This window comes from Homo sapiens, chromosome 7 (genome assembly GCF_000001405.40).
Source record: "Homo sapiens chromosome 7, GRCh38.p14 Primary Assembly".
NCBI classification, from domain to species: Eukaryota; Metazoa; Chordata; class Mammalia; order Primates; family Hominidae; genus Homo; species Homo sapiens.
This window is the reverse complement of record NC_000007.14, coordinates 102,433,205-102,458,547: the sequence shown is the minus strand read 5'-3', so window position 1 is coordinate 102,458,547 and position 25,343 is coordinate 102,433,205. Positions and strand designations below refer to the sequence as shown.

General features: G+C 54.9%; 2 protein-coding genes across 6 annotated transcripts in view, besides 5 other annotated features; one reads left to right on the top strand and one right to left on the bottom strand.

The window, feature by feature from the left end:
- The window catches only part of ALKBH4 (alkB homolog 4, lysine demethylase), an 8,626-nt gene extending 6,316 nt beyond the window's left edge, over window positions 1-2,310 (top strand). For both annotated transcript variants that reach the window (XM_005250464.4, NM_017621.4), the window contains exon 3: window positions 567-2,310. In XM_005250464.4, coding sequence (XP_005250521.1) covers window positions 567-1,154 — 588 coding nt within the window. In that variant the 3' untranslated portion in view covers window positions 1,155-2,310. The remainder of the gene's footprint in view (window positions 1-566) is intronic.
- On the bottom strand, window positions 1,723-24,973 carry ORAI2 (ORAI calcium release-activated calcium modulator 2). 4 transcript variants are annotated; one of them, NM_001271818.2, is made up of 4 exons: window positions 24,887-24,973; window positions 22,215-22,346; window positions 19,367-19,604; window positions 1,723-12,035 (listed from the first exon to the last, which is right to left on the bottom strand). In NM_001271818.2, the coding sequence occupies exons 3-4, from the start codon at window positions 19,589-19,591 to the stop codon at window positions 11,496-11,498; spliced, it is 765 nt and encodes a 254-aa protein (NP_001258747.1). In that variant the 5' UTR covers window positions 19,592-19,604; window positions 22,215-22,346; window positions 24,887-24,973; the 3' UTR covers window positions 1,723-11,495. The 4 variants fall into 4 exon arrangements, with proteins under 4 accessions (NP_001258747.1, NP_001119812.1, NP_001258748.1 ...); NM_001126340.3 differs by having other exon boundaries at window positions 22,215-22,323; NM_001271819.2 differs by lacking the exon at window positions 19,367-19,604 and having other exon boundaries at window positions 22,215-22,323.
- Window positions 3,336-3,836: an enhancer, noted in NCBI's record as "H3K4me1 hESC enhancer chr7:102095159-102095659 (GRCh37/hg19 assembly coordinates)". NCBI's record gives its function as "activates a minimal SCP1, AML or CMV promoter by ChIP-STARR-seq in primed H9 embryonic stem cells {active_cell/tissue: H9 hESC(primed)}" and the evidence as "EXISTENCE:reporter gene assay evidence [ECO:0000049][PMID:30033119]".
- Window positions 7,966-8,025: an enhancer, noted in NCBI's record as "active region_26435". NCBI's record gives its function as "activates an Ori minimal core promoter by ATAC-STARR-seq in GM12878 lymphoblastoid cells {active_cell/tissue: GM12878}" and the evidence as "EXISTENCE:reporter gene assay evidence [ECO:0000049][PMID:35858748]".
- Window positions 11,509-12,056: an enhancer, noted in NCBI's record as "H3K4me1 hESC enhancer chr7:102086939-102087486 (GRCh37/hg19 assembly coordinates)". NCBI's record gives its function as "activates a minimal SCP1, AML or CMV promoter by ChIP-STARR-seq in naive H9 embryonic stem cells {active_cell/tissue: H9 hESC(naive)}" and the evidence as "EXISTENCE:reporter gene assay evidence [ECO:0000049][PMID:30033119]".
- Window positions 13,426-13,505: an enhancer, noted in NCBI's record as "active region_26434". NCBI's record gives its function as "activates an Ori minimal core promoter by ATAC-STARR-seq in GM12878 lymphoblastoid cells {active_cell/tissue: GM12878}" and the evidence as "EXISTENCE:reporter gene assay evidence [ECO:0000049][PMID:35858748]".
- Window positions 24,564-25,343: a silencer, noted in NCBI's record as "silent region_18505". NCBI's record gives its function as "represses an Ori minimal core promoter by ATAC-STARR-seq in GM12878 lymphoblastoid cells {active_cell/tissue: GM12878}" and the evidence as "EXISTENCE:reporter gene assay evidence [ECO:0000049][PMID:35858748]".

Genomic DNA, 25,343 nt, shown 5'->3' with positions numbered 1-25,343 from the left:
TCCCAAGCTGGAGTACGGTGGCTCAGTCTCCACTCACCGCAGCCTCAACCTCCTGAGCTCCAACAGTCCTCTCACCTCAGCCTCCTAAGTAGCTGGAACTAAGGCCTGTGCCACCACATCTGTCTAATTTTTGTTTTGTTACTAGAGACAGAGTTTTGCTGTGTTGCCCAGGCTGGTCTGGAACTCCTGGGCTCAAACGATCCACCTGCCTGGGCCTCCCAAAGTGTTAGGATGATAGGCGTGAGCCACCATGCCCAGCCTAATTTTTAAATTTCTTGTAGAGAGGAGGTCTCACTTTGTTGCCCAGACTGGTCTCAAACTCCTGGCCTCAAGAGCTCCCTCCGCCTCAGCCTTCCAAAGCGCTGGGATTACAGGCATGCACCACCATGCCCGGCCATTTGCTGTCACTTCTGTCTCCTTGAGTCTGCCTCCTCCTGCTTCACCTCCATGAAGCCAGGGGGCTTTTGCTTGCCTGGGTCACTATGACTGAATTCTTCCCACCTAGTCTGTGGTAGACATCTTCGTAAACTCAGACACCTCATGTCCTCTTTGTCTTCATCCTTCAGGACTATGGCCCCAAAGTCAACTTTCGGAAACAGAAGCTAAAGACCGAGGGCTTCTGCGGCCTCCCCAGCTTCAGCCGGGAGGTGGTGCGGAGGATGGGCCTCTACCCGGGGCTGGAGGGCTTCCGGCCCGTCGAGCAGTGCAACCTGGACTACTGCCCCGAGCGGGGCTCTGCCATTGACCCCCACCTGGACGACGCCTGGCTGTGGGGGGAGCGGCTGGTCAGCCTCAACCTCCTGTCCCCCACCGTGCTGTCCATGTGTCGGGAGGCGCCCGGGAGCCTGCTCCTCTGCTCGGCCCCGTCGGCTGCCCCGGAGGCCTTGGTGGACAGCGTGATAGCACCCAGCCGGTCGGTGCTATGCCAGGAGGTGGAGGTGGCCATCCCCTTACCCGCCCGCTCCCTGCTGGTCCTCACCGGGGCGGCACGGCACCAGTGGAAGCATGCCATCCACCGCAGACACATCGAGGCCCGCCGCGTCTGCGTCACTTTCCGGGAGCTGTCGGCTGAGTTTGGCCCTGGAGGGAGGCAGCAAGAGCTGGGCCAGGAACTGCTGCGGATCGCCCTCTCCTTCCAGGGAAGACCCGTGTGAACCGCCTCCTTGGCTCCAGACTTGACTGATCCCGGGATTGAAATGAGGAGCACAGAACAGGGCCTCCTGCAACTCACGGGGTTTCAAGAGAAGATGGCTGACCCCTGATGCTGTGAGCAGTGTGAGCCCTGCCCAGGAGCAGGTTTTGATGGGAACGTACCTCCAGGCAGCCCCCTTCCACCTGGACCGTGGCCACACTTTTTTGGTTATTTAGTTTGTCACAGTCTTGGGGACATGGGATCATTTGAGCTTAAAAAATACTGGGGGCCGGGCACAGTGGCTCACACCTGTAATCCTAACACTTTGGGAGGCTGAGGTGGGCGGATCACTTGATGCCAGGAGTTCGAGACCAGCCTGGCCAACACGGTGAAAACCCGTCTCTACAAAAACTACAAAAATTAGCCGGGTGTGGTGACTCACAGCCGTAATCCCAGCTACTCGGGAGGCTAAGGTGGGAGAATTGCTTGAACCTGGGAGGCGGAGGTTGCAGTGAGCCAAGATCACGCCACTGCACTCCAGCCTCGGTGACAGAGCAAGACTGTTTTGAAAAAAAAAAAAAATGGGAACATTTTAAATGATTTTCACCTTTATTATGCATCTATTTTCATGGGGTTTCCCGATATCTCACTGTCCAGTCCCTTCATTTGGGGAATGTGTTGGATTAGGGAACAGGGTTGAAGATTTGAAGTTTAGACTAAAGAGCTGGGAACAGCTTCAGAGTCAGGCTCAGCCTGACTCATGCTTGACACCCCCACGCCCAGGGAGGGTTGGGGGATGTGAGGAGGGCAGGGAAATCTGAGAGCCTCCTTCCAGCCCCATAACGCTGTTAACAAGTAGGAAAAATTAAAGCTCCCGGCCAGGCGCGGTGACTCACACCTGTAATCCGAGTACTTTGCGGGGCTCAGGTGGGAGGATTGCTTGAGGCCAGCCTGGGCAACATAGTGAGACCCCCATCTCTACAAAAAATACAAACATTAGCTGGGCGTCTGGGCATGGTGGCACACACCTGTAGTCCCAGCTACTCGAAAGGCTGAGGCGGGAGGATGGCTTTACCACCATGTCAAGGCTGCAGTGAGCTCATGATCATACCACTGCACTTAACTTGGCAACAGAGCAAGACCCTGTCCCTAAAATAAATAAAAGGAAAACAAAAAAAGCTCCTCACCTCCCACTACACCAGGAGGCTATTCCTTTGTGATGGGGCTGTGGTGGGGGCGCTTACCTGGATGGGGGAGCTGCTCTGCTGTTCCTGTGGCTGGGTGCGGGGCAGGCTGTGGAGGCTGAGGGGGTGGCCTGGACCCATGTGGCCAGCCCTCTCTCCCACCACTATGGGACAAAATGTTCAGTTCCTCACCACCTGCTGGGAACTAAATCCAGGGGAACAGGAAAGGTTCGGGGCCAGCACCACTCTTTACAGTCACCCCCAGAACCCTCTGGGAGCTGTCAGATGGCAGAGCCGTGCACTGTCTGTAAAGCAGCATCCCAGCCACTGAGCTCCCAGGAGGGCTGAAGAGCCCCGCATAGACCCAGGGGAAAGGCTGATGGGTTTCTAGTGGCTGTGAGAGCCCAGCCGCTAGGTGGGAGGACGTGGCTCCCAGGCCACCTTAACTTCGGCTCCCTGGTCAACTCACTTGGAGCAAGAGCACAGAGCCCGGCTTCCTCCCAGTATCACGGCCCCAACGGGCCCCTCACTGCGCATCCAGATGTGAGTCAGGTCGGAGCTCCAGCTGATCCTCACTGCACTGGAGCAGATAAGCCAGCCCAGGGGTCCACTCTCGAGGGGGCCAGTGCAGGGTCTCTGCCCCTGACAGGCTGGGCTGGCCCCTGCAGGATGCTCCAACATCTGGAGAACGATGCACATAGAGACTTGGAGGGGAGAGGCCTCGTGAGGCTTGGGGATGCTGTGGAGCAAAGAAATCTCCCTCCCTGGGGTCCTTCCATGCTGGCCCTTCCAGCACTCCTGCAGAGCACACTTTAGGAAACTCCATTACCTGTTAAGTTTGTGATACCAGAGTTGGGTCTGTCCTTGAAGCTGTGACACGAAGACCCACGGCGACACCTTACCCAACCAGGATGGGGCTGGAGAAGGCCACGCCAGGATGCTTCTGCCACAGCCTGGCCCCCGTACACGGCCCCATAGCCTCGTATGTTTCCTTTTTCTTTTCCTTTCTTTCTCTTCCTTTCTCTTTCTTTTTTCTTTCTTTCAGGCGGCGGGGCAGGGTCTTGCTCTGTTGCCCAGGCTGGAGTGCAGTGGCGCAATCATGGCTCACTGCAGCCTTGAACTCCTGGGCTCAAGTGATCCTCCCCCTCAGCCTCCCCAGTAGCTGGAACTACAGGCGTGTGCCACCATACCCAGCTAATTGTTTTGTTTTGATTTTTAGTGGAGATAGAGTCTTGCTATGTTGCCCAGGCTGGTCTCAAACTCCTGGGCTCAAGCGATCCTCCCGCCTCAGCCTCCCAAAGCGCTGGGAATAACGGGTGTGAGCCCCTCTGCCCAGCCTGCCCCATGTGTTTCTGCAGGGCTGGGCCCCAGGAGCCACCGCCTGCAGGGTAACATCTGCTTACCGGTGTTTGGGGTGGCCATTTCCGCATCCATCAGACACTTTCCTCAGCAGACCAGGCTGCCCACTCTCATGCTCTTGGAGCTTCAAGCAAGGGGATGGTGAGGCATGGGACTGGGACACGCCCAAATAGGGAAGTGCCCGCTCCAAGGGCGGCTTCTGGAGACATCCCGCTCCAGAGCAGGCCCAGCGGGGGCTCAGCTGACATCCCTCAGCCGCTTCAGAAAGATGTTCAGGAAACACCGTTGCCTGTTTGCTCAGAGTGGCAGGTGGTGAGGCCGAGTCTGGTCCTCCCTCACAGGCAGGGACAGGAGCCAAGCTCCATGCAAAGCCCATTCTCTGGGGTTATTCCTGCCTCGATTTGTGTTAAGCCAGCCTGTCCCCCATCCCACAGTACCCATGGGTGGGTGGGCCGCAGACGGGCTGTGAAAGGGGTTGAGACGTGGTCTCACTCATTTTACCCAGGCTGGAGTGCAGTGGCACAATCTTGGCTCACTGCAGTCTCAACCTCCCTGGGCTCAGATGATTCTCCCACCTCAGCCTCCCCAGTAGCTGGGACTATAGGCACGAGCCACCAAGCCCGGGTAATTTTTGTATTTTTGTAGAGACAGGGTCTCGTAATGTTGCCCAGGCTGGTCTCGAACTCCTTGGCTCAAGCGATCCGCCCACCTCAGCCTCCCAAAGTGCTGGGATTATAGGTGTGAGCTACAGGTTGGCAGGTTCTACATGGGTTTCGGCTCCTGTGTGGGCCTTGCCCTCCTGGGCCCCACCAGGGCTCTGCAGCATCTGAGGCAAAAAGTCTTGGGCCGGACGAGGTGGCTCACGCCTATAATCCCAGCACTTTGGGAGGCTGAGGCAGGAGGATCACTTGAGGTCAGGAGTTCAAGACCAGCCTGGCCAACATGGCAAAACCCCGTCTCTACTAAAAATACAAAAATTAGCCAGGCGTGATGGTGGGCGCCTGTAATCCTAGCTACTCAGGAGGCTGAGGCAGGAGAATCACTTGAGCCCGGGAGGCGGAGGTTACAGTGAGCCAAGATCACACCATTGCAGTCCAGCCTGGACGACAGAGTGAGACTCTATCTGGGAAAAAAAAAGTCTGCGTCGATGATCTGCTGGGTGTGGAGTGGGTCCTTCAATGCCAGTGACTTGTGTCCTGCCCTTGACAGGGGTGGGGCAGATTTTCCCTTTAAGGAAACTGCAGCCTCCACCGGAAGTGCAGTCTTTCTCGAGGCTTGTGGGCTTGCTGGCCTGGGGCTCGGTACTGAGGCCACTGCCCAGCCCAAGGGGCAGCCTGGCTTCTCAGGATTGGCAGAACCAAGGCACTGCCCTAGACGCTTTCCATGGAGTGGTGCCAGTTGCTTGGCACACCTGATTCCTAGCAGCCTCTAGGGTGAAGTGCCAGAGTTAAAAATATTAACAAGGCCTGGCACGGTGGCTCATGCCTGTAATCCAGCACTTTAGGAGGCTGAGGCCAGCGGATCACTTGAGGCCAGGAGTTCGAAACCAGCCTGGCCAGTGTGATGAAACTCAGTCTCTATTAAAAATGCAAAAAGAAAGGCTGGGTGTGGTGGCTCACACCTGTAACCCCAGCACTTTGGGAGGCTGAGGCAGGCGGATCATCTGAGGTCGGGAGTTCGAGACCAGCTTGGCTAACATGGAGAAACCCCATCTCTACTAAAAATACAAAAATAAGCCAGGTGTGGTGGCGCATGCCTGTAATCCCAGCTACTTGGGAGGCTGAGGCAAGATAATTGCTTGAACCTGGGAGGCGGAGGTTGCGGTGAGCTGAGATCGTGCCACTGCACTCCAGCCTGGGCAACAAGAGCGAAACTCTATCTCAAAAACCAACGACAACAACAAAAATTAGCAGGGCATGGTGGTGGTGCATGCCTGTAGTCCCAGCTTGGCAGAAGAATTGCTTGAACCTGGGAAGTGGAGGTTGCAGCGAGCTGAGATCACGCCACTGCACTCCAGCCTGGGAGACAGAGAGAGACTGTTTCAAAAAAACAAAACAAAACAAAACAAAACAAACAGAAATTCTTTCCTAGAAGAGGGCCTCTACCTCAGTGGCCGACAAAAAACAGAATGGGCCAGGCATGGTGGCTCGCACCTGTAATCCCAGCACTTTGGGAGGCCAAGGCAGGAGGGTCGCTTGAGGCCAGAAGTTCAAGACCAGACTGGGCAACATAGCAAGATCCCATCTCTACAAAAAAAACATTAGCTGGGCATGGTAGTGTGCGCCCGTAGTCTCCCAAGTGTAGCTACTTGGGAGACTGAGGTGGGAGGATTGCTTGCGCCCAGAAGCTGGAGCCTGCAGAGAGCTATGATTGCACCACTGCACTCCAGCTCTGGCCTGGGCAATAGAGCCCAACCCTGTCTCTAAAATAAATCTATAAACATAAGCTGGGCAAGCTGGCTCACACCTGTAATCCCAGCACTTTGGGAGGCCGAGGTGGGCAGATCACGAGGTCATGAGTTGGAGACCAGCCTGGCCAACATGGTGAAACCCCCGTCTCTACTAAAAATACAAAAATTAGCCAAGCATGGTGGTGCGTGCCTGTAATCCCAGCTACTTGGGAGGCTGAGGCACAAGATCGCTTGAACCTGGGAGGAGGAGGTTGCAGTGAGCCAAGATCATGCCACCGCATTCCAGCTTGGGTGACAGAGCGACTCTGTCTCAAAAAAAAAAAAAAGGCTGTCTGGTGCTTCCTTAGCAGTGCCACCAGCCCGCAGGAGGGACCCACCTGTTCCTGCTGCCCCACAGGGACTTGGGGCTGGAGAATGTCCTGAGGTGACCAGTGCTCTGGTAGCTCCTCTCCTCAAGGGACTGGGGGGAACGCCAAGCTGACCCTGTCCAGGTGGGCTCTGTTGTCGCTCAGCCACCCTCTGGGGCTGCCCCTTCTTTTGTTTCTGGAAAGAGAGGGCCCTGTCTGGGAGGGGAAGCGCCAGGCAGAGGCACCCTGCGCTCTCGGGGCGGAGCCCCATGGCGGCGTGTCTGGACATGAGTACCCTGCCTCCATTCTAGAGATGTCCACGCCCCCTTGCCGGGGCAGCCTGGGAGGACACTGGCCAGTGACCAGCGACAGGAGGCCAGAGGGCGCTCCAGGAGTTTTTCAGGCCACGATGTGGGTCCCCCAGTCAGCAGATGCCACGGGAGGGCCAGGGGCTGCAATTTATCCCCTCTGCCCACAGCATCCCCCAAGAACAGAAAGACTTTGAATAGCATCACTGGTTTATTCCGTTTCATCCAGGGCAGCTGTTTTAAAAACCCGCACACAGGACAGTGGCTGTCTCTGCCGCACGTGATCTACATAACGCCATGCATAGATCATCAGCACGAGGCAGGTAAGGGCTGCAGCTGAGTCAGGATCCACTCAGGCTTACGTGGTCTGGTCCTCAGCAGACCCTTCCTAGAAGACACGAAAACACATTCCGCCTTCCAAGTTTCTAAACCAGAAACACCTGCGTTTTGAAACAGGTGGTCAGGTACTAAACGGAGAGGGTGTACCACGTGGGAGGGGCCTTGGCATGTCTAGGCACCAGGAAGACTGTGCTCCAAATTAGGATGGGCCCTGGCTGGCTCCCGGGCAAACTGAGGCAGAGGCCCCTGTTCTTTTTTTTTTTTTTTTGAGACAGAGTCTTGCTCTGTTACCCAGGCTGGAGTGCAGTGGCGTGATCTCGGCTCACTGCAACCTCCGCCTCCCGGGTTCACGCCATTCTCCTGCCTCTGCCTCCCGAGCAGCTGGGATTACAGGCGTGTGTCACTACGCCCGGCTAATTTTTGTATTTTTAGTAGAGACAGGGTTTCACCATGTGGGCCAGGCTGGTCTCGAACTCCTGATCTCAGGCGATCCGCCCACCTCTGCCTCCCAAAGTGCTGGGATTACAGATGTGAGCCACCACACCTGGTCTGGAGCCCTCTGTTCTTAAATACTCTTCAAAATCAGGCTAAACCTCCAGAAACCGAATTTCTAGGCTGCAATGGCATTCCTCATCGCCCATGCTGCCCTTCAAGGCGTTTCTGCAGCTCCAACAACAGCTCACCCTCCGTCTCCCCACAGGCTCTGGGGTGACCCTGAGGTTTCCTCTCCCGGCCACCATGGCCCTACCAATGGTCACTGCTATTCCCACAGCAATGGTTTGCCTCATGCCTCGAAACTAGAAAGGCTGGAGCTGGGAGAACGAGAACCCTAGGAGAAAGAGAACAAGAAATTCCAAGACTGTCATCCTCCTAATCAGAGGGCTAGACTTGGATGTGGCTCCGTCCCCACCCATGTGCCACCATCACTGGGCACTTAATACCTGCCTGGATGCTGCCAGGCCAAGAGCTCTGCCTGGGGACCAGGTACAGTAACTGGCCCCCAGATGGCACTGGAGATGCGTTCCACAGTCTGGGGAGTGTGGTACTGCGTGGGCAGGGGCACAGATGGTCCAGGAAGGTAGGTGGCAGGAGAAGGCCCAGCAGGGCCCCTCCCAAAAGACTCAGGCCAGAGTAAGGGCCTGCTGCCTCTCCCAGCCGTGGGGAGCCGTTTGTTTAGGAGAGCCAGCCTGTCTTCTTGACCCAAAGCCACTCCTTGGAGGAACGCTGACATGCTGACATTCTTTTTTCTTTATTTTCTTTTTTTTTTTTTTAGAGACAGGGTCTCACTCTGTCACCCAGGCTGGAGTGCAGTGGTACAATCATATTTTAGCTATTTTTCTTTTTTTTGAGGAGTCACCCTCTGTCGCCCAGGCTGGAGTGCAGTGGCACCATCTTGGCTCACTGCTACCTCTGCCTTCTGGGTTCAAGTGATTCTCCTGCCTCAGCCTCCCAAGTAGCTGGGACTACAGGCGAGCGCCACCACACCCAGCTAATTTTTTGTATTTTTAGTAGACACAGAGTTTCACCATGTTGGCCAGGCTGGTCTCGAACTCCTGACCTCAAGTGATCCACCTGCTTTGGCCTCCCAAAGTGCTGGGATTATAGGCGTGAGCCACTGCGCCCGGCCACTAGCACAGTTATAGTTCACTGCAGCCTCTACTTCCCAGGCTCAAGCAATCCTCCCACCTCAGCCTCCCAAGTAGCTGGAACTACAGGCATGCACCACCACGCCCAGCTAATTTATTTTTATTTATTATTTTTTGAGACAGAGTTTTGCTCTGTTGTCCAGGCTGGAGTGCAGTGGCACGATCTCAGCTCACTGCAACCTCTGCCTCCTGCGTTCAAGCGATTCTCTTGCCTCAGCCTCCTGAGTAGCTGGGATTACAGGTACCCGCCACCATACCCGGCTAATTTTTTGTATTTTTGCTAGAGATGGTTTCACCATGTTGTTGCCGAGGCTGGTCTTAAAGTCCTGATCTCAAGTGATCTGCCTGCCTCGGCCTCCCAGAGTGCTAAGATTACGGGCGCGAGCCATTGCACCCGGCCTGGCTAATTTAAAATAATTTTTTTAGACATGGGGTCTCGCTATGTTGCCCAGGCTGGTCTTGCACCCCTGGGCCCAAGTGATCCTCCCACCTCAGCCTCCCAAAGTGCTGGGATGACAGGCGTGCCCCACCTCGCCTGGCCGATGTTGATATTCTTTAGCAAAGCGAACACATATTAAACCGTAAGAGGCGTTTCTACAGGCTGCAGGAAAGTACATACATGCTGGAGGGCAAAGGTCGCAGACAAATGTCTGCAGGGGACACAAAGGACGAACCCCTCAGAAGACACGGGGCTCTTCTCCGGCCCCCGGGGATGCCACAACTTTCTCGTGGGGACCCTTGGTGTGACTCCCCTAGGGCCCCTCAGCACGGAAAACTGCATGTCAGGGTCTCTGTTCTCTGCTGCAGCCACATTTCCAGAGACCCCAGCCAGGCCACCCAGAATTCCACGGCACGGCCAACCCGGACCCCGGAGAGAGCTTAAGCTTTTACGAGAGATGTGATCAGAGCATGAAGAAGCCCAGTGATTTTTTTTTTTTTTTAGACAAAGTTTCGCTCTTGTTGCCCAGGCTGTAGTGCAATGGCGTGATCTCAGCTCACTGCAACCTCTGCCTCCTGGGTTCAAGTGATTCTCTTGCCTCAGCCTCCTGAGTAGCTGGGACTACAGGTGCCCGCCATCACGCCCGGCTAATTTTTTTTTTTTTTTTGAGATGGAGTCTGGCTCTGTCGCCCAGGCTGGAGTGCAGTGGCGCCATCTCAGCTCACTGCAAGCTCTGCCTCCCGGGTTCACGCCATTGCCATTCTCCCGCCTCAGCCTCCCAAGTAGCTGGGGCTACAGGCGCCCGCCACCACGCCCAGCTAATTTTCTGTATTTTTTTAGTAGAGACAGGGTTTCACCATGTTGGCCAGGCTGGTCTCGAACTCCTGACCTCAAGTGATCCGCCCACCTAGGCCTCCCAAAGTGCTGGGATTACAGGCGTGAGTCACTGCGCCCGGCCCCAGTGACTATTTATGAGAACAAAAGACAAGGCATGGCTGACTCTCCAGGTTACAGCTGGAGAAGAGGGGAAAGGTGTTTGGTTGTACAAGCAGCTCAGGGCAGCTGGTGCTGCGGCGTGCATGTGCGGCCCGAGAGCGTGGCTTCGGGTCTACCAGATGCCTTCAAGGAAAAGGCCAGAACCTGCACTGCACGGCACAGTCACTGTGTGTGGTGGGACCCAGTGTCGGCTGAGAGGCCTGGAGGGGTCTTGCCTCCCTTGTAGTCACTTGGTGTCATAACAAGGAGGGCACTCATTTGGCCTGGGCCGGCCCCTGGCCCCACTATCCACAGGCCAGGCCCGGCCAATGACCTTGCCTAGGCAGGAAGTCCCCCAGGCTGTCCCCTCGCTGCCTAGGGCCATGGGCAAGCTGCACAGGCTCCGGGGCCTGAGCCAGAGCCCCCGCCTCCTGCTGCCACAGCCCAAGGGAGTGGCTGAGTCAGCCTTAGAGGCCATTCTGTGGCCGAGAGCTGGAGGCCAGTGGCTGCGGGGGGTGGGGGAGGGGTCCTTTCCCCACCCCGGTGGCCCCTCTGAGTCCGTGTGGCCAGGGCTCTGGCTGGGAAAAGAGAATTTGAGCCTAGCGTACTTTGCAGCAGCCCTCAAATAACTCAGCCTCCTCAAGGGGGCATCTGATAGATGCCCGTGAACATGTCTTCTCCGGCCTGGCCAGGCTGCCCACCATTGGAAACATCCCCCAGGGCCTGACCCCACTGCCGAGGGCTGCAGCACCCCCCACACCTGCTGGGCTGACGTGTGTCCTGGCTCCTGTCTTCCCCTGAAGCCAGGCCACCCAGCTCCCTCCAGGGCCAGGCAGGGAAGCACCAAGCCCTGGCGTGCACCTGCACCCACTCAAACGCCGAAGCCTTCGTGTCATCACTGTCACACGGGCCACTCAGCACCCATGAAGTCCACCACGGGTCTCTGGGGCAATCCTTCTCTGAACGCAAAACCCTGCCCTGGCTCTCCCAGGTCTGCCAGCCACGCATGCCGGGTCTGAGACTCCCCCGGACCGCTGGGTGCTGCTTGGAGCCCCTCCTGGCCCAGGACTGATGGGCAGGTCCCGCTGGAGCCTCTTCACCGTGTCCCCGACCCAGGAAACCCCGAGGCCAAGGAACCAGCCTGGCTTTGCCCCCAACGCTCTTAGCAACACAGTCCCTCATTGAACCAAACGGTTCTATCTCAGGAGAAGTCATCCAGTCCTTATGGTATTAAGACAAGAGGAAAACTTTGGTCTTGAACTACCCGGCAGCCTTGCAAAATGTCTGCATCTGACAAATCCCCGCCTCTGCGGACTCCCGGGCACAGGGCCGCTCCCAGCCCCGGCCCTCGGCCCCTCACAAGACCTGCAGGCTGCGCTCATGCCCGTCCAGCTGGACCTTGAGCTTGTGGAGCTCCTCGATCTCGCGGTTGTGGCGCTCCGTTTTGTGGCGCACCAGGGAGCGGTAGAAGTGGATGGTGAAGACCACGAAGATGAGGCCCACGGGCACCATGATGATGGTGGACACCAGGGCGGCCTGCCAGCCCGTGTGACTCCCAGGGCCAGGTGGGGGGCCAGGCTGGCGCCGGGCATCCACGGGGAGGAACTTGATCCAGCAGAGCAGCACCACCTCGGCCAGGAAGAGTAGGATGCCAAGCACGGTGGAGAAGCCCCAGGCCAGCTCGATGTAGGGGTGCATGCGCTCATGCGGGGACTCGCTGATGGAGTTCAGGTTGTGGATGTTGCTCACGGCCTCCACATTGGGCAGGATGCAGGTGCTGATGAGGAGGGCGAACAGGTGCACGGCCACCAGCACCGTGGTGCAGGCGCTGAAGGCAATCAGCAGCGGCCGCGGGTACTGGTACTGCGTCTCCAGCTGCACCTCCACCATGGCCACCTGCGGGGACAGCAGACGAGTGGTGCTGGGTGTGGAGAGGGCAAGGTATGGCCCCACCAGGGCCACCTGCCAGGCAGAGCAGGGGCTGGGCCAGGTTCGGGGGACAGGGTAGCCATGGGCTTGCCTGCTGGCAGGACTCACCCATGTTCTGGGCCCTGGAAGACCAGAGGGCAACCTCCTCACTGATCAAATGTTTCACATTTTCCTTTGTTCTAATTATCTAAAGAAGACTGCACTGAGAAAAACATCTCAACAGTACAGAAGAGGCCAGCGTGGTCGCTCACGCCTATAATCCCAGCACTTTGAGAGGCCAAGGCTGGTGGATCACTTGAGGCCAGGAGCTGGAGACCAGCCTGGCCAACATGGTGAAACCCTGTCTCTACTAAAAATACAAAAAGCAGCCGGGCGTGGTGGCAGGCACCTGTAATCCCAGCTACTCGGGAGGCTGAGGCAGGAGAATCACTTGAACCTGGGAGGTGGAGGTTGCAGTGAGGCAAGATTTCACCACTGCACTCCAGCCTGGGTGACACAGTGAGACTCTGTCTCAAAAGAAAACAAGCCACGAAAGTTAAAGAAAGAAAAGAAAGGAAAGAAAGAAAGAGAGAGAAAGAGAAAGAGAGAAAGAAAGAGAGAGAAAGAAAAGAAAAAGAAAGAAGGAAAAGAAAGAAAAGAAAGAGAAAAGGGAGGGAGGGAGGAAGGAAGGAAGGAAACAAAAGAAAGAAGTGAAAAACTGGCTGGGTACAATGGTTCATGCCTGTAATCCCAGTGGTTTGGGAGGTTGAGGCAGGAAGATCACTTGAGGCCAGGAATTCCAGGCTGCTGGGAGCCCCGATTGCACCACTGCACTCCAGCCTGGGGGACAGAAGGAGACCCTGTCTCTATAAAAAATACAAAATTAGCCGGGCATGGTGGCACATGCCTGTAGTCCCAGCTACTGAGGAGACTGAGGTGGGAGGATCGCTTGAACCCGGGAGATAACAGGCTGCAGTGAGCTATGATCACACCACTACACTTCAGCCCGGGTGACAGAGTGAGACCTCGTCTCTACAAAAAAAGGAAACTGACCTTTCAAAAGGTAAAAACTGACCAGGCACGATGATTCATGCCTGTAATCCCAGCACTTTGGGAGGCAGAGGCAGGAGGATCGCTTGAGCCCAGGAGTTTGAGACCAGCCTAGGCAACATAGTGACAGCCCATCTTGACAAAAAAAAAAAACAAAAAACGGAAACTGACCTTTTAAAACAGAACAACTGAAAGTGCGGAGAGTCCCCAGACTCAGAGCTGCACACCTGGATGGCCTCAGACAGACCACATGGTGCCTCCTCAGCAGAGGCCAAAAGCCCAGTGAGAGCCGGCATCTCTAAAGCTCGGGAAAGGTGACGGAAGTGAGGCCGAGGGTGAGGAGGGAAGCTGTGGAAAGGAGGCATGGCTGGGTCTGCTAAGGAAGCAAAATCATCAACCGTAGTCGGAGGCTACAGCAGGTAGAGTCTAAAACGAACAAACCAAGGAACGGCAGGCTCTGCTTGGTGTCTTGAAATGTGAGGTCAGCCAGGCGCGGTGGCTCACACCTATAATCCCAGCACTTTGGGAGGCCGAGGTGGGTGGATCACTTGAGGTCAGGAGTTCAAGACCAGCCTGGCCCGCATGGTGAAACCCCGTCTTTACTAAAAATACAAAAAATTAGCTGGACGTGGTGGTGGGCATCTGTAATCCCAGCTACTCAGGAAGCGGAGGCAGGAGAATCACTTGAACCTAGGAAGCAGAGGTTGCAGTGAATGGAGATCATGCCACTGCACTCCAGCCTAAGTGACAGAGCAGGACTTTGTCTCAAAAAAAAAAAAAAAAAAGAAGAAGCCTGGGGAAGGTTCTTCTACCCACTGTTTCCACTGTTTCCCTCCTAGACCTAAGCCATCCCTGTTTAAAGAAAAAAAAACAACAAAACTCAGGCCAGGTGCGGTGGCTCATGCCTGTAATCCCAGCACTTTAAGAGGCTGGAGGGTGGGGGGCGGGGGGGGGCGGATCACTTGAGGTCAGGAGTTGGAGACCAGCCTGGCCAATATGGCAAAACTCTTTCTCTGTGAAAAATACAAAAATGAACCGGGCATGGTGGCTCGTGCCTGTAATCCCAGCTACTTGGGAGGCTGAGGCAGGAGAATCGCTTGAATCTGGCGGGCAGGGGTTTCAGTGAGCTGAGATCATGCCACTGCACTCCAGCCTGGGAGACAGAGTGAGACCCTGCCACAAAAAAATAAATAAATAAAATAAAATAAAATAAAAAAATAACTCACAAGGCTGGGCCCCGGAGTTAGAGGCTGCAGTGAGCTATGAATGTACCACTGCACCCCAGCCTGGGCAATGGAGCGATATCCTGTCTGGGGAAAAAATAAAGTAAAAGATAAAATAAAATAATATATATGAAGATTTCATAATGTCCTTCAGCAACTGCCACCTCTTAGCAGCTCATTTCTTCACCTCGCTTTCAGTGGTGAGGGAACACTTCCTAGATAAAAGAAGATATGGCCGGGTGCCTGTAATCCCAGCACTTTGGGAGGCCGAGGTGGGCGGATCACCTGAGGTCAGGAGTTCGAGACCAGCCTGACCAACATGGTAAAACCCCATCTCTACTAAAAATACAAAAATTAGCTGGGCGTGGTGGTGGGTGCCTGTAATCCCAACTACTCGGGAGGCTGAGGCAGGAGAATCTCTTGAACCCGGGACGCAAAGGTTGCAGTGAGCCAAGATCGTGCCATTGTGCTCCAGCCTGGGAGACAGAGCGAGACTACATCTCAAAAAAGAAAAAAGAAGACATGGCAGTCCTAGTGGACCAGAGCCGAAAAACAACTCAGCAGTAATACAGTTGGGGCCCTTGTGAAACGTATCCAAAAACCAGTAGCCACGGAACATGGGCTGAGGGGTGGTTTTTCTCAGTGTGGCCCTGGGTTGGCTATGGTCACCTCAAAGGAAATGGCCCAAGTGACAAATATTACAAACCACAGAGGCCTCCAAGACAGGAAATAAAGATGATTATGAGGTAGGGGCAGGGCTTGCAAAAAGTGGTTTTGTTCCACCTTAAAAGGAGAAAAGCGGGCGCCTGTAGTCCCAGCTACTTGGGAGGCTGAGGCAGGAGAATGGCGTGAACCCGGAAGGTGGAGTTTGCAGTGAGCCGAGATCGCGCCACTGCACTCCAGCCTGGGCGACAGACAGCGCAAGATTCCGTCTCAAAAAAAAAAAAAAAAAAGGAGAAAAGGGGCTGAGTGAGGTGGCTCACACCTGTGATCTCAGCACTTTGGGAAGCTGAGGCGGGAGATCACTTAAGCCCAGGAGTTCAAGACCAGCCCAGGCAACAAAACGAGACCCCATCTCTATTAAAAAAAAAAAAAAGAAGAAGAAGAAGAAGAAGAAGAAGAAGAAGAAGAAGAAGAAAAGAGAAGGCAATTTTTCACTGTGTTTATGCAGCATTTTTTAAATTTAAATTAATTTTTTTTTTTTTATTGAGACAGAGTCTTGCTCTGTTGCCCAGGCTGGAGTGCAGTGGCGCTGTCTCGGCTCACTGCAACCTCTGCTTCCCGGGTTCAAGTGATTCTCCTTCCTCAGTCTCCCCAATAGCTGGGACTACAGGCATGCGCCACCACGGCTAATGTTTTTTTTTTTTTTTGAGACGGAGTCTCCCTCTCTGTTGCCCAGGGTGGAGTGCAGTGGCATGTTCTCGGCTCACTCCAACTTCCCCTTTCCGGATTCAAGTGATCCTCCCACTTCAGCCTCCCGAGAAGCTGGGGTTACAGGTGCCAGCCACCACGCCTGGCTAATTTTTGTTTTTTTGTTTTTTGAGACGGAGTCCTGCTCTGCCACCGAGGCTGGAGTGCAGTAGAGCGATCTTGGCTCACTGCAACCTTTGCCTCCCGGGTTCAAGTGATTCTCGTGCCTCAGCCTCCCGAGTAGCTGGGACTACAGGCGTGTGCCACCACGCATGGCTGATCTTTGTATTTTTAGTAGAGATGGGGTTTCACTGTGTTAGCCAGGATGGTCTCCATTTCCTGACCTCGTGATCTGCCCGCCTCGGCCTCCCAAAGTGCTCAGATTACAGGTGTGAGCCACTGCGCCCAGCCTAATTCTTGTATTTTTAGTAGAGACAGTGTTTCACCAGATCGGCCAGGCTGGTCTCCAACTCCTGACCTCAAGTGATCTGCTCACCGTGGCCTCCCAAAGTGCTGGGATTATAGGCATGAACCATGGCGCCCGGCCCTCCTTTTCATATTTTTAGTAGGGACAGGGTTTCCCCATGTTGGCCAGGCTGATCTGGAACTCCTGACCTCAAGTGATCCGCCCACCTCAGCCTCCCAAAGTGCTGGGATTACAGGCGTGAGCCACCCCGCCTGGCCTATGCAGAGGTTTTATGAGGTGGGGCCTTGGATCACTGGTTCTCTGTGTTGGGGGAAGAATACGCATCAAGAACTAAGCTTCAGGTTAGGCATAAGCACGTGTTGCTAGACAAAGGAACAGCTTTGCAATTCTAATGAGGGAAGACACACTATAAAGGGCGAACTCTACCCAGCAATCTGTACCTTTGCCTGTTCCCAGGGCCCTGCCCCGACTCAGCTACAGTTTCTGATGATTTGTATTTGTCACTTATTTTTCCCAGGCTGCCCTGCAGTGTGAAGAACGATCTGACCGGATGGCGCTATGCTAATCTAATCAAGCAGGTGCACTGCGGCTCCCCCAAGGCTCAGCTCCACGCCAGATGGTTCACTTGCTTCCCACTGCAGCTGGTGCTCTGTATCTATGAGTTCCACATCTGCAGATTCAACCAACCGCAGGTCAAAAATACTTGGGGGAAAAAAACAAAATGAAACAACAATATTTCTCCCTTGGTATAAGGTGAAGAAAAAAATAACAATAATTAAAGAAAAAAAAAACCAGCCTGGGCAACATAGCAAGAGCCACCTCTGGTTTTTTTTTTTTCTTTTTTTTTTTTTTGAGATGCAGTCTCGCTCTATGGCCCAGGCTGGAGTGCAGTGATGCAATCTCGGCTCAGTGCAACCTCCGCCTCCCGGGTTCAAGCAATTCTCCGTCTCAGCCTCTGGAGTAGCTGGGATTACAGGCATCTGCCGCCACGTCCAGCTAATTTTTGTATTTTTAGTAGAGACGGGGTGTCACCATGTTGGCCAGGCTGGTCTCGAACTCCTGACCAGGTGATCTGCCCACCTCAGCCTCCCAAAGTGCTGGGATTACAGGCGTGAGCCACCACACCCAGCCAGCTTTTTCTTTTAAATTGCACCATCAATCTAACAATTGAGGCTCCGGCCTACAGAAAAACAATAGAGGCTGGGCACGGTGGCTCCTGCCTGTAATCCCAGCACTTTGGGAGGCCGAGGGTGGCGGATCACCTGAGGTCAGGAGTTCGAGCCCAGCCTGGCCAACATGGTGAAACCCCATCTCTACTAAGAATATCAAAATTAGCTGGGCGTGGTGATGTGTGCCTGTAGTCCCAGCTACTCGAAAGGCTGAGGCAGGAGAATCGCTTGAATCCAGGAGGCAGAGGCTGCAGTGAGCTGAAATCACACCACTGCACTCCAGCCTGGGTGACAGAGCAAGACTCCATCTCAAAACAAAAACAAAAACAAACAAAAAGAAAAACAATAATTGTTTTCACATAAGGAAACAGGCTGGACAAGGTGCAATGCTAGCACTTTGGGAGGCCGAGGTGGGAAAATCACTTGAGAGTTCAAGACTGCAGTGAGCCATGATTGCACCCCCGCACTCCAGCCTAGGCAACAGAGCAGAGAACTTGTCTCTGAAAAAAGAAAAAAAAAATTAGCCAGGCATGGTGGCACGTGCCTATAATTCCAGCTACTCAGGAGACTGAGGCAGGAGGATGGCTTGAGCTCAGGAGGTAGAGGCTGCAGTGAGCCATGATCACACCACCGCCCTCTCCAGCCTGGGCAACAGAGTGGGACCCTGTCTCTAAAAACAAAACAAAAAACAAATAAATCACTTCCACCCAATAGGACCTGTGAGCATACTGTTGTGTCCTCACTGTGAGTCCTTAACCTCTGGGACAATTCCCTCCAGGGGTGTGGGTCAGCGGCTTTGGAGTCAACAGGAGATGGGCCCCTTGTCAGAGCCGCAGCTTTGTCGGAAACTGACTCTTGTCCTAGGGGATGACTCAGAAGGAAGGCGGCCGCTGGGAGCCAGGCCAAAAGCTCTCCTTTGTCACCCTGGAGGCCAGATTCCAGGAACGTCTGCATCGCTAACTGGGCTAAACTGATCCAACCCCAATCAATCTCTGAGGCCCTGCTCAGAGATCCCTGAGAGTTCCAAACTTTTGGGTGGTGCCTGAGACGGGGCAGACATGGGCGCCTTTTCTCAGGAAACCCTGTACCATGCAGCGATTTGATTTGATTTTATCTTTTTAATTAATTAATCTATTTATTTCGAGACAAAGTCTCACTCTTGACCAGCTGGAGTATAGTGGCGTGACCTTGGCTCACTGCAACCTCCGGCCTCCCAGGTTCAAGCGATTCTTGTGTCTCAGCCTCCCAAGTAGCTGGGATTACAGGCGCCTGCTACCATACCCAGCTAATTTTTTTGTACTTTTAGTAGAGACGGTGTTTCACCATGTTGGCCAGGCTGGTCTCGAACTCCTGATCTCAAGTGATCCACTCACCTCGGCCTCCCAAAGTGTTAGGATTACAGGTGTGAGCCAACACGCCTGGCCAAAATAAATAAATAAATTTTATTTTTTCTTTTTAGAGATGGGGTCTCACTCTGACGTCCAGGCTGGAGTGCAGTCGTGTGGACATAACTCATTGAGGCCTCCACCTCCTGGACTCAAGTGATCCTCCTGCCTCAGCCTCCCAAGTAGCTGGGGCTATAGGTGCACGCCACCACGTCCGGCTAATTATTTATTTTATTTTTGTAAAGACAGGGGTCTCCCTGTGTTGCCCAGGCTGGTCTCAAACTCCTGGCCTCAAGCTATCCTCCCACCTTGGCCTCCCAAAGTGCTGGGATTACAGGTGTGAGTCACAGAACCTGAGCTACTATAATTACCCCGCACCAACCTCCCTCCTTGCTAAGCAAATACTTGATGTGAACAGGACAAAGTGGGCTTTCTGAAGATTCTAGAGCTGGGAGCCCCTGGCAACTCCCAGCGCCCCCACTCGCACTGATAGAGTCGTCCTCTTAGAGCAGCTGGGACGTGGGTGGATGCTTCCTACTGGTCCATCCTGGCTGCCAGAGACTGGAGGGAAGGCTCTGGTCCCTGAGGCATCCCGGGACCTCAGTTAGCAAAGCCCATCTGACCAGTGTGCTCCTCACTTGGCGCCCACACTCACCATGGCAAAGCCGGAGAGGAGGGCGGAGGTCCTGCTGGAGGCCTTCAGCTTGGCCCTGCTCAGGTAGAGCTTCCGCCACGACAGGGCCTGTACCGAGTGGTGGTTAGAGGTGACCAGTTCCAGGTAGCTGCGGCGGACCCAGTCCCGGTAATCCATGCCCTTATGGCCGGGCTCAGGGCAGGCAGGAGCAGAGGGGTCGATAGGCACGTTAAGCTCAGCACTCATGGTGGGAGCCAGGCTAAGGGTGGGAGAGAGACATGCTCAGACATCCTAGGTTACTGCGGCCTGGAAGAGCTAGACTCCAAGCCCATTCAACCTACAGAGGCTGCCATATACAGCCCACGCCAGAGCCCAGGGGTTTAGAAAGTGCCCAGGACCTAAAGTTATGTTTCTTTGTTTGTTTGTTTTTGAGACAGTGTCTCACTCTGTCGTCCAGGCTGGAGTGCAGTGGGGCAATCTCACCTCATTGGAAACTCCAGCTCCTAGGTTCAAGCAATTCTCCTGCTTCAGTCTCCTGAGTAGCTGGGATTATGTGTCCGCCACCACGCCTGGCTAATTTTTGTATTTTTAGTAGAGACGGGGTTTCATCATGTTGGCCAGGCTGGTCTCGAACTCCTGACCTCAAGTGATCTGCCTGCCTCAGCCTCCCAAACTGCTGGGATTATAGGTATGCGCCACTGCGCCCAGCCTTCCAGGACCTAAAGTTATGAAACCTGGATTTGACTCTACTGTGTGATTCTGAGCATGACAGCTGACCTTTCTGACCTGGCTCTTTCATCGTGAGAATGGGGATATTTCCACCTGTAGGACTTTTTATTTATTTTTATTTTATTTGATTTGATATATTTTTTTGAGACAGTCTCGCCGAGTTGCCCAGGCTGGAGTGCAGTGGTGCAATCTCTGACTCCCGGCTTCAAGCGATTCTCCTGCCTCAGCCTCCCAAGTACCTGGGACTACAGACGCCCGCCACCATAGCTGGCTAATTTTTGTATTCCTAGTAGAGATGGAGTTTCACCATGTTGGCCAGGCTGGTCTCAAACTCCTGACCTCAGGTGATCCACCTGCCTCAGCCTCCCAAAGTGCTGGGATTACAGGTGTGACCCACCGCGTCCAGCCTACTTTTTTTAAAAATAGAGACAGAGTCTCATTCTGTTGCCCAGGCTGGAGTGCAGTGGTACGATCACAGCTCACTGCAGCCTCGAACTCTTAGGTTCAAGGGAAGCTTCTGCCTCAGCCTTCTGAGGAGCTAGGACCATAAGCACAGGACCATGCCTGCTAATGTTTTAATTTTTCCTAGAGACGGGAATCTCACTATATTGCCCAGGCTGGTCTTGAACTCCTAGCCTCAAGTGATCCTCCCTCTTACACCTCCCAAAGTGCTGGGATTACACGTGTGGGCCACTGCACCCGGCCTCACCTCTAGGGCTTTTGAATAAGATAATGCATCTGAAGACGAAAGACTTCTTCCAACATCCAGGTGCCAGCCATGGAATAAACATTTCCAAGTAGCTGCTAGTTTCACAGATCCAACTTACATTTTATTATTTTCTAAATTTATTTATTTTTTGAGACAGAGTCTCGCTCTGTCACCCAGGCTAGAGTGAAGTGGCGCAATTTCGGCTCACTGCAACCTCCGCCTCCTGGGTTGAAGCCGTTCTCCTGCCTCAGCCTCCCGAGTAGCTGGGATTACAGGCATGTGCCACCATGCCTGGCTAATTTTTATATTTTTAGTAGAGACAGGGTTTCGCCATGTTGGCCAGCCTGGTCTTGAACTCCAGAGCTCAGGTGATCTGCCCGTCTCAGCCTCCCAAAGTGATGGGATTACAGGTGTGAGCCACCGCACCTGGCCTTCAACTTAAATTTTGATCAGTACAGTTCACCCTAAGAAAAATATTGGACTTACATAACTAAAGCCACATCCAAGCTACAAGGCAAACTTTTAGCAAGATGAAAAATGAAATCCACCAACTCACATGACCACATTTTAAGGAGAAACAGAAGGCGGAGATGCCTGGACTCACACCTGGTAAACATCTGGTTTGACTAACACGGATTAAACATCAGAAGGACAGATCTGTCAAGATTTGTGAATTTAAACCCAAATCTCCACTAAGTAGGGGATTGGCGGTCGCGTGTGTCCCAAGGAGCTGGGCTGCTCGGCCACACGCCAGGATCCAGTTCTAATTAATCTGCAGGGCGTGCTTCAAGGGCACAGGCATCTTGTGGTTTACTTGACATCAAAAAGAGTGACTTTTCCAGCCTGGCCAACATGGTGAAACCCTGTCTCCACTAAAAATACAAAAATTAGCCAGGTGTGGTGGCGGGCTCCTGTAATCCCGGCTACTCGGGAGGCTGAGGCAAGAGAATCGCTTGAACCCAGAAGGCGGAGGTTGCAGTGAGCCAAGATTGCGCCACTGCACTCCAGCCTGGGTGACAGAGCAGGATTCCGTCTCAAAAAAAGAAAAGAAAAGAAAAAAAAGAAACGAAAAGAGTAACTTCTATGTCCAGGCCCACATAGGCCCCACGGAAAGTCTATGTCAGGCTGTTACACACAGATCCGTGTTTCTAGGTCCCAGGGAGCGTGGCTGGGGTGGACGGGTGGAGTGGGGAGTGCTTAACAGGGTCAGCAGCTGAGGAAATGCCCCAAACTTAGTCCATCCATGCCAGAGTCGAGCCCCCCATAATTGAAAATGCCCCAATTTGGAAATTACGCAGGAAGGTGCTGGAGGTGGAAAACAGTGTCGCCTTTCCCTTTGTTCTCAACAAGGCTACAAAGCCACAGCCTTCCCTGGCCAACAAGACCTCTGGGAACAGTTCTGTGCTATTTCTGCCAGGGGATGCCAATTACCAGGTCATTTATACGAATGCCAACTCAGGCTCTCCATCCCATCTCCTTGCGCACATCCGCAGCCAGCAGCACCGCATCCAAGCACTTCCATCCCTGGGACGTTCCTTCCCTTGGGGAGAATTCAGAGAAACGCTGCAATCCGTAGGTTAGCTCCACATAATAGAAAATGCTGTAATTTGGAAACTGCATTTTTCCTCTCCCCCCACCCCCATAGTTAACAGAATTGAGCATGCAGGTCTGATGACCGCAGTATACAGAGACTGGAGGGGTGAGACGCTAACCTTTGCTCCCTCCGTCCTCCCTCCTCCATCACACAGGTGCTTAGCGCACTTGGTACTTAAAGATCCAAGATGAAAGAGGCCAGAATTCATGGCCTCCCAGTAGGGGAGCAAGGTAAGGGGATGTGGGTCAGGAGCAGTAGCTCACACCTGTCATCTTTGGGAGGCTGAGGTGGGCGGATCACTAGAGGTCAGGAGTTCGAGACTAGCCTGGACAACATGGTGGAAACCTGTCTCTTCTAAAAATACAAAAAGTAACTGGGCATGGTGGTGGGCGCCTGTAATCCCAGCTACTCAGGAGGCTGAGGCAGGAGAATTGCCTGATCCCAGGAGGCGGAGGTTGCAGTGAGCTGAGATCCTACCGCGGCACTCCAGCCTGGGTGACACAGTGAGACTCTGTCTTAAAAAAAAAAAAATAGCTGGGTGTGGTGGCAGAGGTTGCAGTGAGCCAAGAGCACACCACTGCACTCCAGCCTGGGCAACAGAGCGAGACTCCATCTCAAAAAAAAAAAAAAAAAAGAGGGGGGGGCAATCCTCATCCACTGAGCTAAAGGCTTCAATGGAGGGCAGGGAGCAGAGGACTGGCTGCCTCACACCAAGGCCAGGAAAAGGTGCTTGCAGGTAACACCGGGGAGGGGACAGAGCGGCCCTTTGCATGCCAAAGTGCCTCATGCCTGTAATCCCAGTGTTTTGTGAGGCCAAGGTGGGAGGATCACCTGCGGCCAGGAGCTGGAGACCAGCCTAGGCAACAGAGTAAGACGCTGTCTCTAAAAATAATTTTTTTTGACATGGGGTCCTGCTGTGTTACCAAGGCTGGAGTGCAGTGGCACAATCTCAGCTCCCTGCAAATTCTACCTCCCAGGCTCAAGCGATCCTCCCGCCTCAACCACCCGAGTAGCTGGGACTACATGTGTGTGCCACCATACCTGGCTAATTTTTGGTATTTTTGGTAGAGACAGGGTTTTGCTATGTTGGCCAGGCTGGTCTAGAACTCCTGAGCTCAAGTGATCCGCCCACCTTGGCCTCCCAAAGTGCTGAGATTATAGGCATGAACCACTGCGCCTGGCCTCTAAAAAGAATTTTAAAAAAGAGGGACCTTTCCTCAAAGACAAGATGCTGCCTGCATGGAAGGATTCCGAGAGACGGGAAGGCCACTCCAGGTGTACATGTGGGGTGGCTCTCCTTGTCCAGGAGATATGGAGGGAAGACTGGCTGCCACCTGGGGGGTGGAGGGGGCAGGGAGATGTGGGTGGAAGACACTTGGAGCCTGGGGCTGTGGAATGAGCCAGAGGGTCTGGGCAGCATGACTGGGCGTCCAGCCACAGGAGAATGGAAGAAATTGGTGAGTGGAACGGTCTGGGCACTGCTAGATCATTCTGGTTTGGGACCACAGTTCAACCCAGGGAAATGGCTGGCCGACTGGCAGGAGTGGGACGCAAGGGAGAGCCTGGTGGCCTCCAAAGGAAGGAAGGGTGAACAAGAGGGATGCCCCATCAGTAAGGGTGGGCTGGGCTCAGGTCTGAGAGTGGAGGTGAAGAGCTCAGGGCAGTGAGGGCTGAGGGTGGCTTCCTGGGAGCCGCCAGGCCTCCCATGCCCCATCGGTGAGGCCCTGCAGATGTCCCCAGAGTGGGTGGGATTGTGGAGGAAACGATGTCTGTCTGCCTGGAGCTGGGTCTTGAGACAGGTCTCCAGGTCTCGAAGGAGCAGCCCAGGAGGGGGTTCAAATCCATCCTTTATGTTCCCAATGCCAACTGTGTGTGCCAGGCCCGGTGGCCCAGGGGGAGGGACAGAGTCTGGGCCTCACACTGGATCCCAGGCAGGGGGTGGGGTGGGGCAGGATGGAGCCCTGTACTTCTGTCAGGTGGCACAGACCCTAGAGGATGCTCCGGGACTGAACCTTGTGGGGTTGCTTTTTTTTTTTTTTTTTTTTTTTTGCTTTAATGAGCAGTCCGAGAAAACAGGTCTTGTAGAATAACGCGATCCCCTCTCTAGAGATGAGCTTTTCTTCCTGGCTGGCCTACTGGACACATTTCCAGAGGGCGGTCTTGGAGTTTGACTTCCTCTAAGCATCTGGGGCACCGGCAATGGCGAGTGTCTCTCTCCAGCAGGCGCACTGGGAGGGGGCCTCCCAGGGGCGCTAGGCTGCATCCCTGTCCCTCCCCCAGGGACGCCCCGGTGTCCGGAACCGGCTGCGCCGCCGACCCTGATCCTCTGGGCGCCGCACCCCGCCAGGGATCCCGCGGGGTGGAGGTCACCAACCCCGGATGGGTAGTGACCGCGCCCGGGCAGCCTACAGTCGTCCCCTTCCCCGCCGAGCGTCCCCGGTCCAATTCCGGCCCCCCCAGCCGCAGGGACCCCGCTCCCCGCGCCAGGCCCCCGCGCCGCCACACTCACCGGAGCTGCCCTCGCCCCGCCCGGCTCGGCTCCCGCTCGGACTGCGTGGCCGCGTGGCCTGTGGCCCAGTGGCCCGGCCGGGGCGCCGAGCGCGGCCCCCTCCCTCCTTCCGCCGGTCGCGCGGGGTCCCCCGGCCCCGCCTCCACCCCGCCCCCGCGGCCGCCGCAGCCGCTGCCAAGGCAACCAGGCGCCGCCAACACGTGACCCACCCGCGGGAGAGCCGCGGCCACGTCACCCGCCGGGCCGGGAGGGGCGGGGCTGGCGGCGCCTCCTCGGAGAGTGGGGGGGTGGGGGTCCCCGCCTCACCTGGAACCACCCCGGGATCGCGCGAGGGAGAGGAGCAGGGGAGGTGGGAAGACCCCGACCCGCGCGCATCCCTCCTGCCCCAGCTCCTGTCCCCGGCCCCAGCTCTGGGAGTCAAGGCGAGGCCCCCCACCGCCCCATCGGGGGTCCGGCT